The sequence below is a fragment of the Homo sapiens genome, chromosome 2 (genome assembly GCF_000001405.40).
Source record: "Homo sapiens chromosome 2, GRCh38.p14 Primary Assembly".
In the NCBI taxonomy this organism is placed as follows: Eukaryota; Metazoa; Chordata; class Mammalia; order Primates; family Hominidae; genus Homo; species Homo sapiens.
Genome location: NC_000002.12, coordinates 162,823,294 through 162,839,866, shown reverse-complemented (window position 1 = coordinate 162,839,866; position 16,573 = coordinate 162,823,294). Strand labels below are relative to the sequence as shown.

The 16,573-nt window shown below is 35.7% G+C and overlaps 1 protein-coding gene across 7 annotated transcripts in view; it reads left to right on the top strand.

Annotated features, from left to right (window-relative positions):
* Nucleotides 1,100-16,573, top strand: part of KCNH7 (potassium voltage-gated channel subfamily H member 7) — a 467,361-nt gene continuing 451,887 nt past the window's right edge. For all 7 annotated transcript variants that reach the window (XM_017005220.3, XM_017005219.3, NM_033272.4 and 4 more), the window contains exons 1-2: nucleotides 1,100-1,424; nucleotides 3,100-3,330. In XM_017005220.3, the coding sequence (XP_016860709.1) occupies nucleotides 1,349-1,424; nucleotides 3,100-3,330 (307 nt within the window). In that variant the 5' untranslated portion in view covers nucleotides 1,100-1,348. The remainder of the gene's footprint in view (nucleotides 1,425-3,099; nucleotides 3,331-16,573) is intronic.

The window sequence follows — 16,573 nt, the reverse complement described above, 5'->3', positions numbered from 1 at the left end:
TCTATCCTATATGAGATGGCTCCTTAGAGATGGTGGAGGAGAGCAGAATGTGGCTAGTGTGTTCCGGAGATGAGTGGCATCGGAGGTCACAGCCAAGGCTGGTAACTCTTAGCCCCACCCACCTTTTGTTCCTTCCCCCTGGCGCTCAGCCTCACCTATTTCAAACTCTTTCCTTCTTTTGTACTAGTCGCTCGCAATCTTTGGCCTTCTCATCTTTGGCCGTCTCATCTTCCTCGCAGCCTACGGCACCTGGAGACCAAATCAACCCCCAATCTTGCAACCCTCCAGGGACTCAGGCAGAAACTGGGCATGCTCAGCGGCACGGGCAGCTTTCAGTCTTTCCCGAGGCGCGGCTCAGCGCTGGGCAGGGACCTGCGTGCCAATTCAGTTCGGGCTTCGGCACCCACCTCCGCTGAACCCAGGGATCCGAGCTGCACCCTGAGGCTAAATCTGCACCCTTAGGTGGTTCATTGTCAATCTTCAACCTGCTGAGCGCCAACAGAGCTTACAAATATTCCTCATTAAGAAACTGTTTTCCCACCTGTGTTTTCCTTGCAGCTAAGGGTGCTTTAGCTACTGCGGCGTGAGGAGCTCAGGGACGGAGCCCTGTGGCCGGTGGCCGTAGAGATCACCTTCCCAGAGTAGCTGTTTGTCACTGAGTTTTGGAGATTTCTTGGCTGGCTTCCGCTAAAGCACGCTTGAGTAATCCGAGCTGTGGCGGCGCCCAAGCTACCAAGATAAAGAGAGCGTGTGTGTGTGTGTGTGTGTGTGTGTGTGTGTGTGTGTGTGTGTGTGTGTGTGTGTTAGGGGGAGAGGGCGGGGATAGAAACGTCAACCCCGCCGACCCCCAGCCTCCTTTTCTCTCTCTCCTTCCAGCAAAACCGGCACAAGTCTTCCATCCCCCCTCAGCCATTCCTTACTGCTCTGGGCAACCGCCAGGTTAAGCCCATTTGCACTGGGAAATTGGCGCTGTTTGGGAGAAGAGAAACAGATCGATTGCCCTTGTGACTCCCCGCCCCCTTCCCACCCCACCCCCACAGCTCCCTCCCTCTTTCCCTCCCCCGCCACCTCCCCTCACCCCGCCTCCTTCCCGTTCCCCACCCCCAAACCCTCTCACCCGCGGCAGTCCGGTGCGAGGCCCCCTCCGGAAGGTGAGGGGAATGGATTGGACTCCGGTGGGGAAAGCGGGTGTCTAGAAGTGGTGCTAATGGGAAGAGAATTCTGGTTTCAAAAGAGGATGCTCTGCCACAAAGAGCGGCTCGCGCGCTGGCCTGGGCTCTAGCCGAGGAGAGATCCCGGGAGAACTCCAGAGCTCCGGGGGAGCGCTCCTCGGAAGACCGGGGCCAACATGCCTGTGCGCAGGGGGCATGTGGCACCACAAAATACATTTCTGGGGACCATCATTCGGAAATTTGAAGGGCAAAGTAAGTTCGTTTGTTCTCTTCTCTCGCCCTCGCTTTCTGCCTTGTTAGTGCACTTGGCGTCCACCGCTTCCAAGGTGGGGAGACCGGCAACTCCAGGCTCTGTCAACTTAAGAGGCTGTGAAACCGAGCCAGGAGGTTCGAATGGCAGCGGGAGTGTTCTTCTGATATTAATTTTGATTTACATTTTAGATTACGGTCTCCATTATAGGAGGCAATTTGATCCTCCTCTACCACTGCTCCATTATCTGCCTTGCTACTTAATTTCCTACTATTCTACTATCTTAAAGGGAACGTGCTAGGATAACATGGGTTTATATTTTGAGGCTGTTTTACTGTAGACTTTCTGAAAGTCGGAAGCAGAGCAGACCATACTATTCGAACAAGAGAATGTAAATGGTAGTAGCGATGTAAATGACTATGCAAACTATATTTTACCTTGGTTAAACTGCAAAGCAGTGGTATGACACGGATGCTTGCTTGCTATTAATTTATAGAAGCTAAATTTTGTATTGAATCAATGCAAATATATCCTAAGCAGGGTAATTTGGAAAAGCAGTATCTCATCTGTGCTGGTTCCCGATGCAAATGGCTCATTATTCAAAATAATATTTCTATTCTTTTATTATCCCCTTAAAATTTCCATCTAGAAATTTAAAAATTGAAGTGTAATAAGTAAATCCCACAAAGACTGAATGCACAGAAATTTAATGTTCTCATGTGGACTAAATATAGGGAATAAATTGTTGCTATATAAATATATTAATTTAAAATCCTGTATTTGTTAACTTATCTTCGGTCTTTTCTTAAAACTATATTAATACATTTGTATGCCATATATTTTGCGGTTATTTCAGCACTGCATTTAGTGATGTGAGGATCTGGTACCTTGCGTACAAACTAAACTTGTATATCCTGCTTCACAATCTATGTGGAAATAGTAAATACAATCTGTGATGTAAATTAATAAGCTCTTTATATTAAGAATTCCTGCTACTACAGAAAACTTCAAGGATCTCCCAAAGTAAAAGTAAAAAGGTTGTCATGATATTTACTGTGTGTGTGTAAATATTTTTCTTTTGGGAAATATATATTATGAAAATGTGAATCTTTGCCTTGTTGAATTGCTATTAAATATGAAGTAGTTTCATTACTAAAGCTAGTTGCCTTTGTTTTTAACATGATGTGTGTAACATGCCTAAGAGAGATAGGGAGAAGCCAAAGAATAATAACTACTTTGAGAAAGTTGTATTCAAAGGGCCAAGGTTGAAATGAGAAATCTGACAACTACAGAATGTTTCACTGTTTGACTTTGAAAATATTTACATTACAATTAAATGACATTCTGAAAATATCAATGGGCAGCTGCTTGTCTGAGTGTCCACTAGGAACCCCCGCAGTTGCAGGGCTTGAGAACTAGTCTATTTGGGAAATTCTATTCTTGCAATTTTAAGAGTGGTTTCTTAATACTTTCTGTTAAAATTACTTAGGATCATTAATCTCACATTTAAAGTTTGTGGGGTTTCTTGTGTTTTCTTTTTTCATAAGGGCTGGAGAGATTAGTAATTTGGGGAGGCACCTGCATTTCAGAGCTCTTATTATGCAACAAATTGCTTCAGTGTTACGGAGAATATTGTGGAAGCTTTTTCAAAGATGCCATACTGTCTTCTTATTACAGATAAAAAATTTATCATTGCAAATGCCAGAGTGCAGAACTGTGCCATCATTTATTGCAACGATGGGTTCTGTGAGATGACTGGTTTCTCCAGGCCAGATGTCATGCAAAAGCCATGCACCTGCGACTTTCTCCATGGACCCGAGACCAAGAGGCATGATATTGCCCAAATTGCCCAGGCATTGCTGGGGTCAGAAGAGAGGAAAGTGGAGGTCACCTACTATCACAAAAATGGTAAAATTCCTCTATTTAGGATTCCTTCTATTTGATCCCATTGAAAAGAAATTTTGACTATTAAAAGTTCATATGCAAAGAAGCCCAAAATGTTCAATTGTAGATATATGCTTTGCATATAGTATTTTGGGATCCAACATATATGGGTATTCTGATTAGTGGTCTGGTAGAAACAATTTTTTCTTTGAATAAGGGTACTGTAATCTCTTCAAAAGTACAGTAACATAATGTCACTGAGGTTAAAATGCTACAAATCAGTCTTAGATGCTCCTTTCTTTAAGGAATTAGAGAAAGATGAACAATGTACTGCTTGCATTGGTATGCATTTGGTAGGCGAGAAATACAGATACAGTGTTACTTGTTTGAACTTTAAAATACTCCACAAAGCAAATTTATGTTGAAAACTATATCTAAAACTAAAACTATTACAGTTATGTCTCTTGGCTCTTTAGCTTTAGTTGATAGGCAACACCTCTTGTTTCTTTTGCTCCTTCTTACAACATTAAGGATGATAAATAGGAACTTTTACCTTGATCCAGTTAACCTGTGCATATTCAAACAATAAAGGCTGTTTATGTAGTCAAGATTTGTCCTGAAATAAGAAATGTAGAAAAAATTATGATACTGTGGAGTTATTAGTATTGATTTTTATAACTACAGCAAATCTGGCATCTTAAACTTAAGGTCATACCTCAACTTCGAGGGCAACACCTCCTGTCAAACTTGCTATGAGAGCCGTAAGAGTTAGACATAATAGTTCTCTTAAAAAATTACACATGTAATAGATAGGCATGCCTTAAATACACAATATATATGTAAATGAACTCACATATATAAATACTCAGATATGCCCATTTTAAGGTGTATATATAGATATATATTCCTGAATATCTATAAATCTATATCTATATATATCTATATATCTATACAAAATGATATTTGTCTAGGGCTTAAAGGTAAAATTACTTTAAAAAATTGAATGTTATAGTTAATTTTGTTGATATTTCATCATCATCTATTTCTTTTTATTCCACTAACAGAAATTACTGAGGCAGAGGGGTAGCTGTTCAGATTTTTAGAAAACTCTTAAGCTTTTGATAAATATGTAGTGTGCCATAGCCTATATCATATAATGACTCATCATTTGGTATACTAGAGAGAAAAAAAGACAGCAGGAAAAAGGTTTCAGTCTTACTCTTATTTTCTTATAATTCAATGTACAATGTACAATTCTTAATTACTACATTTTCCTTAACATGAAGTTGAGTGGTTACAAAACATTACTAAAAACAGGTTTGTATAACTTTGTAGTAATCTGGAATGAAAGCAATAGTATACGTATCAAACAGATAGAAATTGTTTTTAAAGTTCTTCCCATGTTTCTCTTACTTTTCAATCAGTAGTGTTGGCATACTAGAAATAGCCTAATTGTTCTGTTGTCTTGAAAACATTTATTGGATTGAGCTCTCACTACCCAAATGTAACTCATGTCTTTTGAGTATCTGATGCCAACAATCTGGACGTTTGGAATAATTTGAATGTCTGACATTTTTTTCCTATTGAATATTTATTATGATGCCAACACAGTCTATATTGTGGTAACTTCAGTGAATGTTGGTCCATCTTTGGTCATTATGTTTTCTAGACCATTTCAGGGATTTTTCCAACTCATAGAATTTAAGTATGACATTAATCTGGATTGCCCAAATTGCTCAAATACTAGGTATATCTTTCAGAGTGTTTTCAAGTAGGAGTTATCTATTACACCGCAAGTGGCGTGATGATGTTTTGAAAGTTGTGCAATGTGGGTGTGTAAAATGATCTCAAAACACTTTAAAACAAATTTAATAAGAATCACAGATATGATTAATTCCTATTAAATTATTGAATTTTCTGTATTGAACATATTAGTATATTGACAAATACAAATCTTTCTATTTGAAGGATTTTCTTGGTTATATGCATTAAAACTCCCCTGTTTTCAGAAAGGGACTTTTGATTTAGAGGATTGTTTGGGTATAAAGAAATTAACCTTTAGTAAAAATTTTGATTCTGTTGACTTCATTTTCAGATGTAACTCAGTCTTCAAGGATTTGAATATCTTTAGCGTTAACTATAAAATCTACCTATTTTGCTTTAATTGATATGGAAAACATGAGAAAATGGGTCAAGCATTTTCTTTTTATTTAATATTTTAAGAAATATATTAGTTTGAATGACCTTTTTAAACAGTGATGACACAGTCATACTTGTTTGCTTTGAAAGTAATAAACTTGTGTTTTGGCTGCTAGTTCAGATAACTTGGATAGAATCTTCAGTGTGTCTTGGTTTTATTTATATGACAACTACAAAATCAGTTAGAGCTTATGAGATACAAATTCTTGGATAGTCTCATCTCTTAGAGATAAGACTACTGCCAGCTACTCTACATTTATAAAAGCTGGAAGGAGGAAAATCAAAATCACCAACATATTTGTTGGTTTGTTTCTCAAAGTTTCCGTAATTCGTTATTATTGATGCCATTGACTTTTGAGTTTCTTGATTTCTTAACTGTATACAGTAAATGCTTCTTTTGCTTATTCTTTATTTAGCATTTCACAAGAATATGAAGAGTGATGTAATAAGCCCAATGAACAAATTAACAAAAAGTTGATATATTCTGTTTCCATTTCTTCCATTTGCTCTTACTGGAGGAGTAAAAATACGACCGAGGCATTATTTTGGAAAGCTTGTTCGCTAAAGTGGCCCAGAGGCTTTATAAGCAATTTAAACCCGTGATCTATGCAATGAGTTCACATTGATGCAGTTCATGGTGAACTGCATGATCGTCATTTTGAAACACCACTTCCTACTATGCTTCTGTATGTGATTGTGCTAGGCACAATTAAACTTGCTGTTTATCAGAATATCAATTTTTAAAAACCTAGTTATTTGCAGTAGGAATATTTGACAGCTCTTCCTTTGAGGATTCTATTTTACAGTTTAAGTCATTATTGCATAAATCATCCTTGGCAGCTGTGAAGTATTGCTTGAGGTGATAAAGCTGTAAATCTTTTGACATAAAACTCTAATTATACAAAACTATAATTATGCTATGACTTATATAAGGATGGGCATGTATTTTAATAGCATAATACATTCATTTAAAAACACTTTTCAGCAACAAAGATTAAAAAATAGCAAGGACTTCAGTTATTAACTAGTTCATAGTTTTAGATGATGCAAGTGGAAAGGAAACAGAAAAAAAAAATATTTTAGTTAGCCCCCACAACTAAGTTTATCCCTCATCTGGTTTGGAGTACATCACGGAAGAGAGCTAGCTAGTTTAAGTGCTAAACCCCTTCAGGCATATTTACAAATGTGACTTTGACCTTAAATTATCAAGCAACTTTAAACATTTGAAAAAACAAAGTAAATTTCTCCAGGAAAAATAAACGTCTTTACTCAGTAGGAAAGGATGACTTAAAATATATTATTTTTTGAGGTCAGAGCGTTCCTGTATTTTGCCATTATGCTTTCATACACACTATGGTAGCAATTTTACTAACAGATCAGAAATGTATGGTGCTACTTTTCTTATCTTCATGCTGCTTTTAAAGAACTGAAGAATGATAAGGGACTGAGGGAAGTCCTTGCCTAATCCAGTCAGATATCAGTAGAAAGTTTCAGAGGTAGATTTTGATTAAGTAAACTCAGAAGAGGTCTTGGTTTGATAGCATTGAATTTACTATGTCTGAAAATTATGTGGAAAGACCTTCTAGAAACAGCTGTGTTTTTGTGAATCAAGGTGAAGATGTATATTGAGTGCCTCCTCTCTCTCTCATGTAATGTACCAGGCACTGTAAGAACAGTAGGAAGAGATACAAAGGAAGATGCAACCTGATCTCTGCTTCCAGGACATTTGTATTACAGAGTGACTAATATTCATTTCCATCCTCTAAATCTCAGCTGTTTTTATAAAATTATTTTTAATGGAAAAAGAGTATTTGGACTATGGGGTTGTTAATTGCATAGAGAACCTGCAAAATTTATTATTAATTGCTATTTTCCTTCTATTCCCCAAATTTAAAATAAACATGCTTATGTGTATCTTCTTTTCACCATTGTCATGTATACATAATAATGTATTAAAGAAGCAATGAAGTTTAGTTAAAATTTTATTAGTACAAACAGAAATTTCACAAAATTTCATAATAGCTTTATATAAGTTATATGGCATGTAAAACATTCAGCTCTCTTAATTCTTGGATTGTGTAGAAGAGATACAGATGGTAGCTTTTTAGACAAGAACAAAAATATATTTTATGTGTGTGTAATTCAAGCAATGAGAAAGATTTTCAGAGCGTATCTTGCCTAGAGTTTGCTTGGGTGTTCATTTTAACTTTCTGTTTATACATTTTTACATTCTATTCAATAGACTATTGCAACAACAGTAATCCTAAAATTCATTTTCTCTTATGTGCCCAAATTTTATATCATCTCATGGACTTTGAATGTTATCCAGAATTCAAATTTGATCAGTTGTAATTGTTGATAAAATAGGCATTCTTAAGAAATGCTCTTCCCCACAATTTGAAAACTATTTCAGTATTGTCCTAAGTGAAACCAAATGTCCTAAAACTGTGGCTGAGCTTTGTTTATCAGTTACTTTTCACCATTCACCAACATCACACCTCTAAGAAGCTCTGGTACCAACAAGAAGCCATGTTGTCTGCCAGCTTGAGAGAGAAATTCTTAGTTATTTTCACACCCAAGGTGCTTGAGAACAGGTCAGTTTAGGACTGAATGAACAGGATAAGTTTAACAGGAGAAACTTGCTTTTACTGGCTTCCAAAGGTTTTTGGTTGGTTTGTTGGTTGGTTTTGGTTTTGTTGCTGTTGTTGTTTGGTATAAATAATCTCTGAATCCATTGCTGGCAATCTGGCCTGCCAGGAGAGTACCCGGTTAGTTGAGCCACAGGGAAGTAACAGTTGGTGTATTAAGTTTTGAGGTGTCACCATTCATCTGGGATCTATACTAGAAACTTTGGTGTCATTTTCCATTTTTCTTCATCCCTCAGCTCCCTAAAGCCAACTGGTCACCAAATCCTTTCAATCTTTACATCAGAAATATTTCTCAAATAGCATTGAGAGATATTCGAAGTGGTCTGATTAAAGCCTGCTGTCCTTCCGAAGTATTCAAGTATCTAGTTTCTCTCCCCCGATCCATCCTCTACATACTGGGAGAGAGCTATTCCCAAAACATGAATCACCTATGCTGATGGCTTATTAGCGCCAAGAATCACTGAAAGTAAATTTTATATATTAAATAGTGGGTACAACCATCTCATAAAATATATATTCTTATTATCTCCGTTTTGTGGAAATAACACTGAAGCCCAGAGAGACTGAATAATTTGCCAAATTGCACATAGCTCATACACAGTGGAGTCTGAGCCCTTAACAACTTTGTCTTACTGCTACTCGATGTACCTATATCAGACCTCAGCTTGAAAACTTGTTTTCAGTCATTAAACCAGGATACTGGCTGGCTTCAGAATTGAATTCACTTGGGATTTCAAGTATTGTGTTGTCTTAGTCTTTTCCTACTGTGATAACAAAATACCTTAGAGCGGGTAACTTATAAAAAATAGAGATTTATTTCTCACAGTTTTGGAGGCTGGGAAGCCCAAGATCAAGGCATCAGCAGGTTCTGGGACTGGTGAAGGCTGGCTCTTTGCTTTCAAGATGGCACTTTGTTGCTGTGGTCTCACATGGCAGAATGCAGAAGGCTAAAAGGGGCAGTCAGCTCTCTGAAGCCTCTTAAAGGCATTAATCCCATTCAGGAGAGTGGAGCCCATATGACTTAATCACATCCCAAAAGTCTACACTTCTTACTACTCTCATGTTGGGGTTGAAGTTCGAATGTATGAATGTTGAAGGAACACTACATTCAAACCATTATAGGTATGTTTAGAGAAATCCAGCTGGATTCCCAGCTCTGATAACAACTAGATGAACTTGTTGGAGTTTACCTTCTTCATGCCTCACTTTTCTTTACTGATAACTATTTGGAGAATATAATCTATGTTGTTAGGCTTATTGAGTGTGTTGCATGCAATAAAGAACGCAGCATTATTTCTGGCATGGTTTCCATAATGTGTTCAATAAATATCAATTAGTTGAATATATTGCCACCTTCATTTCTCCCACAAATCTTATGATCCAGTCATACTTGATTGCTCAGAGTTTCTTAAAGAAGTAACATATTTTTCTTCTACTGAGGCTCTGTTTAGTCTTTAGAAGTTTTTCTTTACCTATAATGAATATTTCAAAGACTTTCTAAATGGATTGCCCTTCTCTCAGCTTCTCACCCGAAAGAAACCATCATCGTCCTTTCAAAGACAGATCAAAAGACTTCTCTGTGAAATCCTTCCTGATGTTCCCACTATCTGCACTTCTGTCTCCTCATAGCACTTGGTTCTAGGCTCCAGGGTAGCCTCTGAAGAGTGCTCCTTGTTATTACGCATTATTGTAGTTAATTTAGTCTATTTTTAGCTTATTCAGAGAAAACACCAAGTCTTATTAATTTCTGTGTCCAGGATATATGGAAGGGTAACTAGTACGAAGTGAGTGCACTGTTAGTATTTACTTAAAGAATGAAGAGAAGATGAAAAATGGTACCATGCAGTTAGAAAAAAAAAAAAAACAGATAAAGTTAACAAGATCTGGGGGAAAGTGTGTTATAGGAAAAGTGTAATGCTTTGTTTTTTTTTTCATTTTCTTAAGAACACTTCTAAAATATTAAAAACAATTTTTACCATAATTTTATTAATGGCTATATGTTTTGTTTAGTAATCTAAGATATTAAATCATCTTCATAGCCTGAAACTATATGAATATGAATAGCTAGAAAAATATTTAGTGAACAGTTGGAATCTACTCACCAGAAATTATTAACCTGTTACCTAAGTGTCACTCACTTGCTACCCCACCAATGACTTACCAGTGTCTCCAACAATCTCTAATAGCCCAAACCAGAGTTTTCTTCTGTTCTTTTCTAACTTGATTTCATTGCTGTGGTTGGCACAATTATACAACCAACTGAATATGTTACACACTCTATTGGCATTTTATATCTAGTGCAACTATTTATCCCTCCATGTTTTCTTGAAAATTCTTAATCAGTAATGAAGCTTGATTTCAGAGTTATACAATAATGGCAATTGAAAATGTAAAATGATAAAGTTAGCTGATTAATCATTAATTATTATAATTGCCAAGTGAATATTTTCTCTCTCTTTACTGTGCTGTCTGCATTTAGCAATAGTACTGAACTACCAAGAAGCAACAGAGTCAGGTAGCTATAAGGCACTAATTATAGTAGTGAGGAAATACGTCTTATTACTGAACAATTAAGAAAGTTAATGGGTTATGAGAAAACAGAATTCCAGGTTCTCATGGCTGTGACTGAATATTCCATAATCTCTGCCTCATCCTCCTTTAATTTACATGAAATATCTAATTAAGAAAAGCAATGGGCTCTTTCCATGATAGCCTGAATCATGGCTGAGGCGTCTTCTATGACTTTTCCCAAGTTAAAGTAGGCCTGCTTGTGTGCAAACTTGTCCTTTTCATGATTCCCACTGTTTTGTAGAATGTCTCACACTACTTTTTACTCAGAAAATGGGTAAAAACAGCTGTGGCTGGTGCTCAGTGGGCAGGAATTCAAGGGAGGAGTGAGAGAGGACTGTGGGTACATTTCTGCCTTTAGTTGGCTCATTTTGTAAAATGATCTCAAACTAGACTCTGCCGGGCAGAATGTGTGAGGTTCCCTGAGCCACGTGGCTTTTGCTTACCTGCACTTTCTTTCCAGATGAGTCAGAATACAGTGTAACAGCAAGTGGACTTTCACCATTGTGGGTTTTATTGTTTCCTTTTTCTGTTTTTATTTTGTTCCTTCTCTCTTTTTTTGAGATCTTTAGGAGTGTTTTTATGTATCATTCTTTCTTAATTTTGATAGGACATTAATTCTTTTGCATTTTTTGAAATATTGATTTTGAGAAAAATGTAATAACTGCATGAGTTCAAGACAAGTTAAAATGTCTGTTGCCCATCATGTAGATTATTGTCCTTTAGCCTCAAAACACTCTTCTTACTTATATTTAGTGAAGTCTGTATCAATGACTTAAGATGATGAGCATGATGATAAAAATTAAAATACAAACTAGTGGTGGTTTTATAACAAGTAACAAAGAACAAGTAATAAATAAAAATCCATTTGTGCTAAAAAAGATCACATGTTGTAACATAATCTTAAGGTATTTGCATATACTAAGATTATATCAATTGGACAAAATCAATGTTAGAGCTATGCAAGGTTGCATGGTGTGTGAATATTTTTTAATGAAGTTTCTGTTTACCTCTTAGCTAAATCCATTAAAATTTCTTCTGGGTTTGCTAAAAAGTCTATATACACTATCTGTTTTCTTTAATAATAATAGTAATCATTTGATCTTTAGCCGTACATTTATTCAAGGGGTTTACATGCAACAGATGTGCTCTTCAGATTTTAATTTTTGTGGTTGTATGCAATGGACACCAGCCCTCTACTCAGGATAGCTCTTCTCCCAAAGGTCTAACATTGAGTTCCAACTCAGTGACTGGTTCTTCATATAAATTGCTTTCAGTGATTTTCATGACAGCTTTGGGAGCAGACGTTATCCCATTTTACAGATAAGTTAAATTGAGGTTCAGAGAAGTTAAGTACTAATGATCACAGAGCAATGTGGAAATGTGGTTTACAATTTACATTTATCTATACTTGCAAACTCTACCACATTGCCTCCAAATGATACACCTCTTAAACCTCAACCTACTCTATTCTGTATTTCCTAGTTCCAGTTCTTAAACATAGATTCTATTGATTATCCAAGGTTTAAATCTGGTTAACTTAATTCACATCAAAGAGTGAATAAAGCATGGCATTTTGCATTTTTAACAGAACTTTATCAATCAAAATGAATATCAGGCAGAGTGTTAGATTTTAGTAGAATGAGGATAGCTAGTATATGCTTATAATCTGCATCATTTTAAATGGCATTCTCTTTTACTCTTAAAATGTCCCAGTTTTGGACTATATATTGTATGACTGACTTAGATTTTGGGGGCATTTTTGGTTAAGGGCCCCTCAGTTACTATATGTCTAGTCTTTATCCACATAGTCAGGTAGAAAATTCATGGAGTATTTTGATTCAGTAGCAGGGACATACATGGTGTCCTTTTCCCCTCTCCTTCCCACAAGAAAGTTTTATTTCCTGGCAAGATTATGTGATGTAACAAAATTCACCACTAGTATTTTAAAGGGAAAGCATAAATATACTGTGTGGAGAGCGTCTGGTTTATTTAAAATGCCTCCAATTTTCTACATCTTGAGCCAAATGTCAGACTCACTTCCTGTTACACAGCCTACTATCTTATTTCCCTGAGCTCCTCCTAAAGGCTGTCATCCTCAGGACTCCTCCCTTTAACCACTGGGTTTCTTCTTCCTGAGATAGCCTTAATGTCCCCTCCCTGAACCCTTCATCAACTCTCCTCCACTTTTAAGCAAATTCTGTATGGCTTCAATCTCAGCTCATTTCTAAGGTCTCTAAGTCCCTCAGGCAGCCTTCTCCACATTTCTCATGTGTTTTCCTTTTCTCTATTGGAACACTTATGAAATTGTGTTGTAGTAATTTGTTTCTATGTCTGTCTTTCCCACTCCATGTTGAACATTTTGAAGGGACTTATTAAGGCAGTTATTAAAAAGTAGAAGAAATGGGAGAGCAAAGAACAGACTTACGAGAACCCAGCAATACACCCATTTACAGATGAATATCTGTGAAAGGTGTCAGAGTCTGGAAAGATATCATTCATTCATGCATTCACCATCTTGTGTTTGTCATTTTGCTGCTATGAGAATGGTGAAAATCAATCTCTAACATTGTTTATTAACTGAGAAATTAATTATTAACTTGCTGCCATATGGTTTACATATTATAAAGCAATGTATTCTAATACTTAATAACCTGTAACTCATTATAAAAAGACATAACAAATCACTCTTCTTAGTTAGCCTAGAAGGGAAAAGGTGAATGGTCAGAAGAGTTCAGATAGATCCCTGATGCCAACACAGTTGACTGATTCTGATGGAACATCCACAAGTTCAATAAAAGGAAAAATATCTCTACATGTTCTCATAATAATATAAGCATGTTTACAAACCATCCCAGCCCTCCCTGGATCTCCTCAGTTAAATACACATGACAAAATACTTATAAAACCTTGCAATTATGCTGATGTATTTTTCTGCTATCTTTCTCTACACATTGGAAGCAGCTTCATACTTACACTGGTCCCACAGCACATTTAATTCTTTTTTCCAAACCTTGGGTCATGGGTTGAGATTGTAAGGCCTGTATGATATCAGAAGACACTTCATCAGTCACATGCTGATACAGGATTTCACCACTTCAACAAGGACTTATATCTCTACTCTCTGTCTCTGTCAAAGTGATTTAACCTCACTGTTGAAACATTAGAAAATACAGAGAGAAAATAGAAAAAAAACCATAATCTTAATACTAACAGATATCCACTGTTACAATGATGGCTTGTAGTGCAGCTATAATTTTTCTACACAAATACACACATGTGAGCATTCATGCATGTTTTTAACAAGACCAGGGCAGCACTATATGTATCACAGCTTGTAGCTTGTTTTCCTCACTGAGAAATTTCTGCTGAACATGCATATTTTTTTAATGATTACATAAAATTTTTACACAGACCATAATTGTTTTAATATCCACAGAATATTACCAACAATTATTACTTAATAATAATTGAGCACTTGACTATTTCTAACTTTTTACTGTTGTACAAATGTACCAAAAGTCTGTTCAACCATCTTGACCACCTGTACTTTTTTCCTTACTAAATAGTCCTAGAAGTATAATTACTGCATAACAGTATGTCTATCTTAAAACTTTTGAAATCTCTTGTCAAATTATAACAGCAAAAAGGTATATATTTAACTGCACATTTTATGTGTCCAATAAAACTTAGCATTCTTTTTAATTTTTGTTGATCTAGTAGAAAGAGTACCTTATTGTCTGATCACTAAATGTGATCCAATTCAATTTTTGTTGAAATTTGTTGAATTTTGTAATTCAAATTTTATTGAAAAACACATGTAGAAAATATTTGAGGCAATTTATTTTCCCATTAAAAAAACATGCTAAGTATTTTGAAACCTAGGGAGCAATGAGGATCTCTTGAATAGCTGAGTATCCTCGCTGGATGCCCCACTTCACACCAGCTTCAGTATTTTAAAAACTGATCTTCACATTCACATTTTCATTTCAGTAATTTGCTGGCATTTTTCCAAACCTCAGATTCAGAAACTGATACCAAGTCTTTACTATTTAAATAATTTACTATTTAAAAGTTCAAACACTCCTTGAACTTTTCCTCCTTTCTATGTGGAATAAGTTGGATTTTAAGTTATTTTCAGTATTTCTTATATATTTCAATATTTCTTATTTATTATCTAAATATACCATAATGAAAATTATAACTAATGAAAGAGCTTTTCTTCAGTAGTTTTTATTTGAATATACATATATACATTGAGATTAAAATATACTCTCTCCCTCTCTCTCTACATATATATATATAGTTTTGCTGAGATGCAAACTGATGGCCAGGAAAGTTAGCAAAGTCATAATAAATAAACAATCTTCTAGGATATCATGTAACAGAAGTGAAATTCACTTATGAAATGCCACTTATAGTGACATCAAATGCTCAAAATTACATATGATACGTGAGGAAAGATATAAGCAACAGAATTATAACACAGTATCAGATAAACTGCTAAATTTATTCCAATATAATAGTATTGAAATGAATGTAGGGAAAGATTATTCTCTTCCTAGGCTGCCTTATTTAACCAAGACCTGCAGAGCTCTGGTAATCTGATCTTTCTAGCTGTGACTCAATTGTCAGGTCTTCCCTCCAGGTGTTCTTTATAATGAATGTCACTTAACCAAGGCTCAGTAGGATTTATGGATTCCCAGATTGCTGTTCTCAGAATTTGCCCCCCAATGAAGGACTACACAAAAATGCCATTAATGATGCACAACCTCAACTGTCCTATTAGCTGGCATCTATTCATTCGAAAATTGCAGAACTTGTTTCTTTGCAGGTCATGTTTCCAGAGTAAGCAGAAGGTGTCCTAGTGAAATGTCATACCCACCAACATTCTTTATTTTAAATATACTCACTGTGTATAGTGTGAGTTACACAATATTTTGTCTTAATTACTGGCTGCCCCAATAACTTCAATGATGAATTTTTCTCTGAAGAATACTTCATCTCAAAGAGTTAATACTTTTTGTTATTAATCTAAACTTTTTGAAAATATCAAGAATGCCGATTACAGCCTTTAAATCTTTACCAAGTAAGATTTTATAATATCATTCGTGATTTTTCTTCAATATTAGAAAATAAAACTAAATGTTGGCAGAGCTAATGCTCTGCTACAGAAATGAAAATTAATTTCGAGTGTAAAAGAATAAAGTATTTTCATAGGTACTTCTTATATGGCAATTAAAAAATAACTGGTAACATCTAAATTTTCTTTTCCAGAAGGTAATTAGAGATTTTAGTTAGACTGTCAGCATTTAAAAATCTATAAATTTAAAATATAAAGAATGAAGATGAAGCCTGCTCTTTTAACCACTTTAGTTGGATGGTGAAATTCCTGGAAAAGACAAAAGAAATCTCAGGCATTGAATTTTCATTCCAGCAGAAGTTATGTGTGCTAACTTCTGTTAAAGATTCCAAGAAACATGGACTAAAAAAGACCAGAGACTTTTTCTAAAAGTAATGACATTATTATACTATGAAGTGTAATAAAGACTATGTTATAGTATAACCAGGCAGGGCCTTCTTGCCACTAATCTTGTTGTTCTAGAAATGGAATAATCAACCCCTCCTCATTACCACACCCACTTTAACTATAACTCAAGGCAGAAATCAGATCCTGGAATTTTTAAATTTTTGTTGATTTTAGTTTCTTTATTTTACATTCATGAACACTAGTATCTTGCTAATTATTTCAAGGATTGGGCTAAATTATTCTGTGGCAACATATGAAATTCTGTAATTAGAGATAATTAAATAATAGAGTGTGGTTTGAACATTTTAAATAATAGTACTAA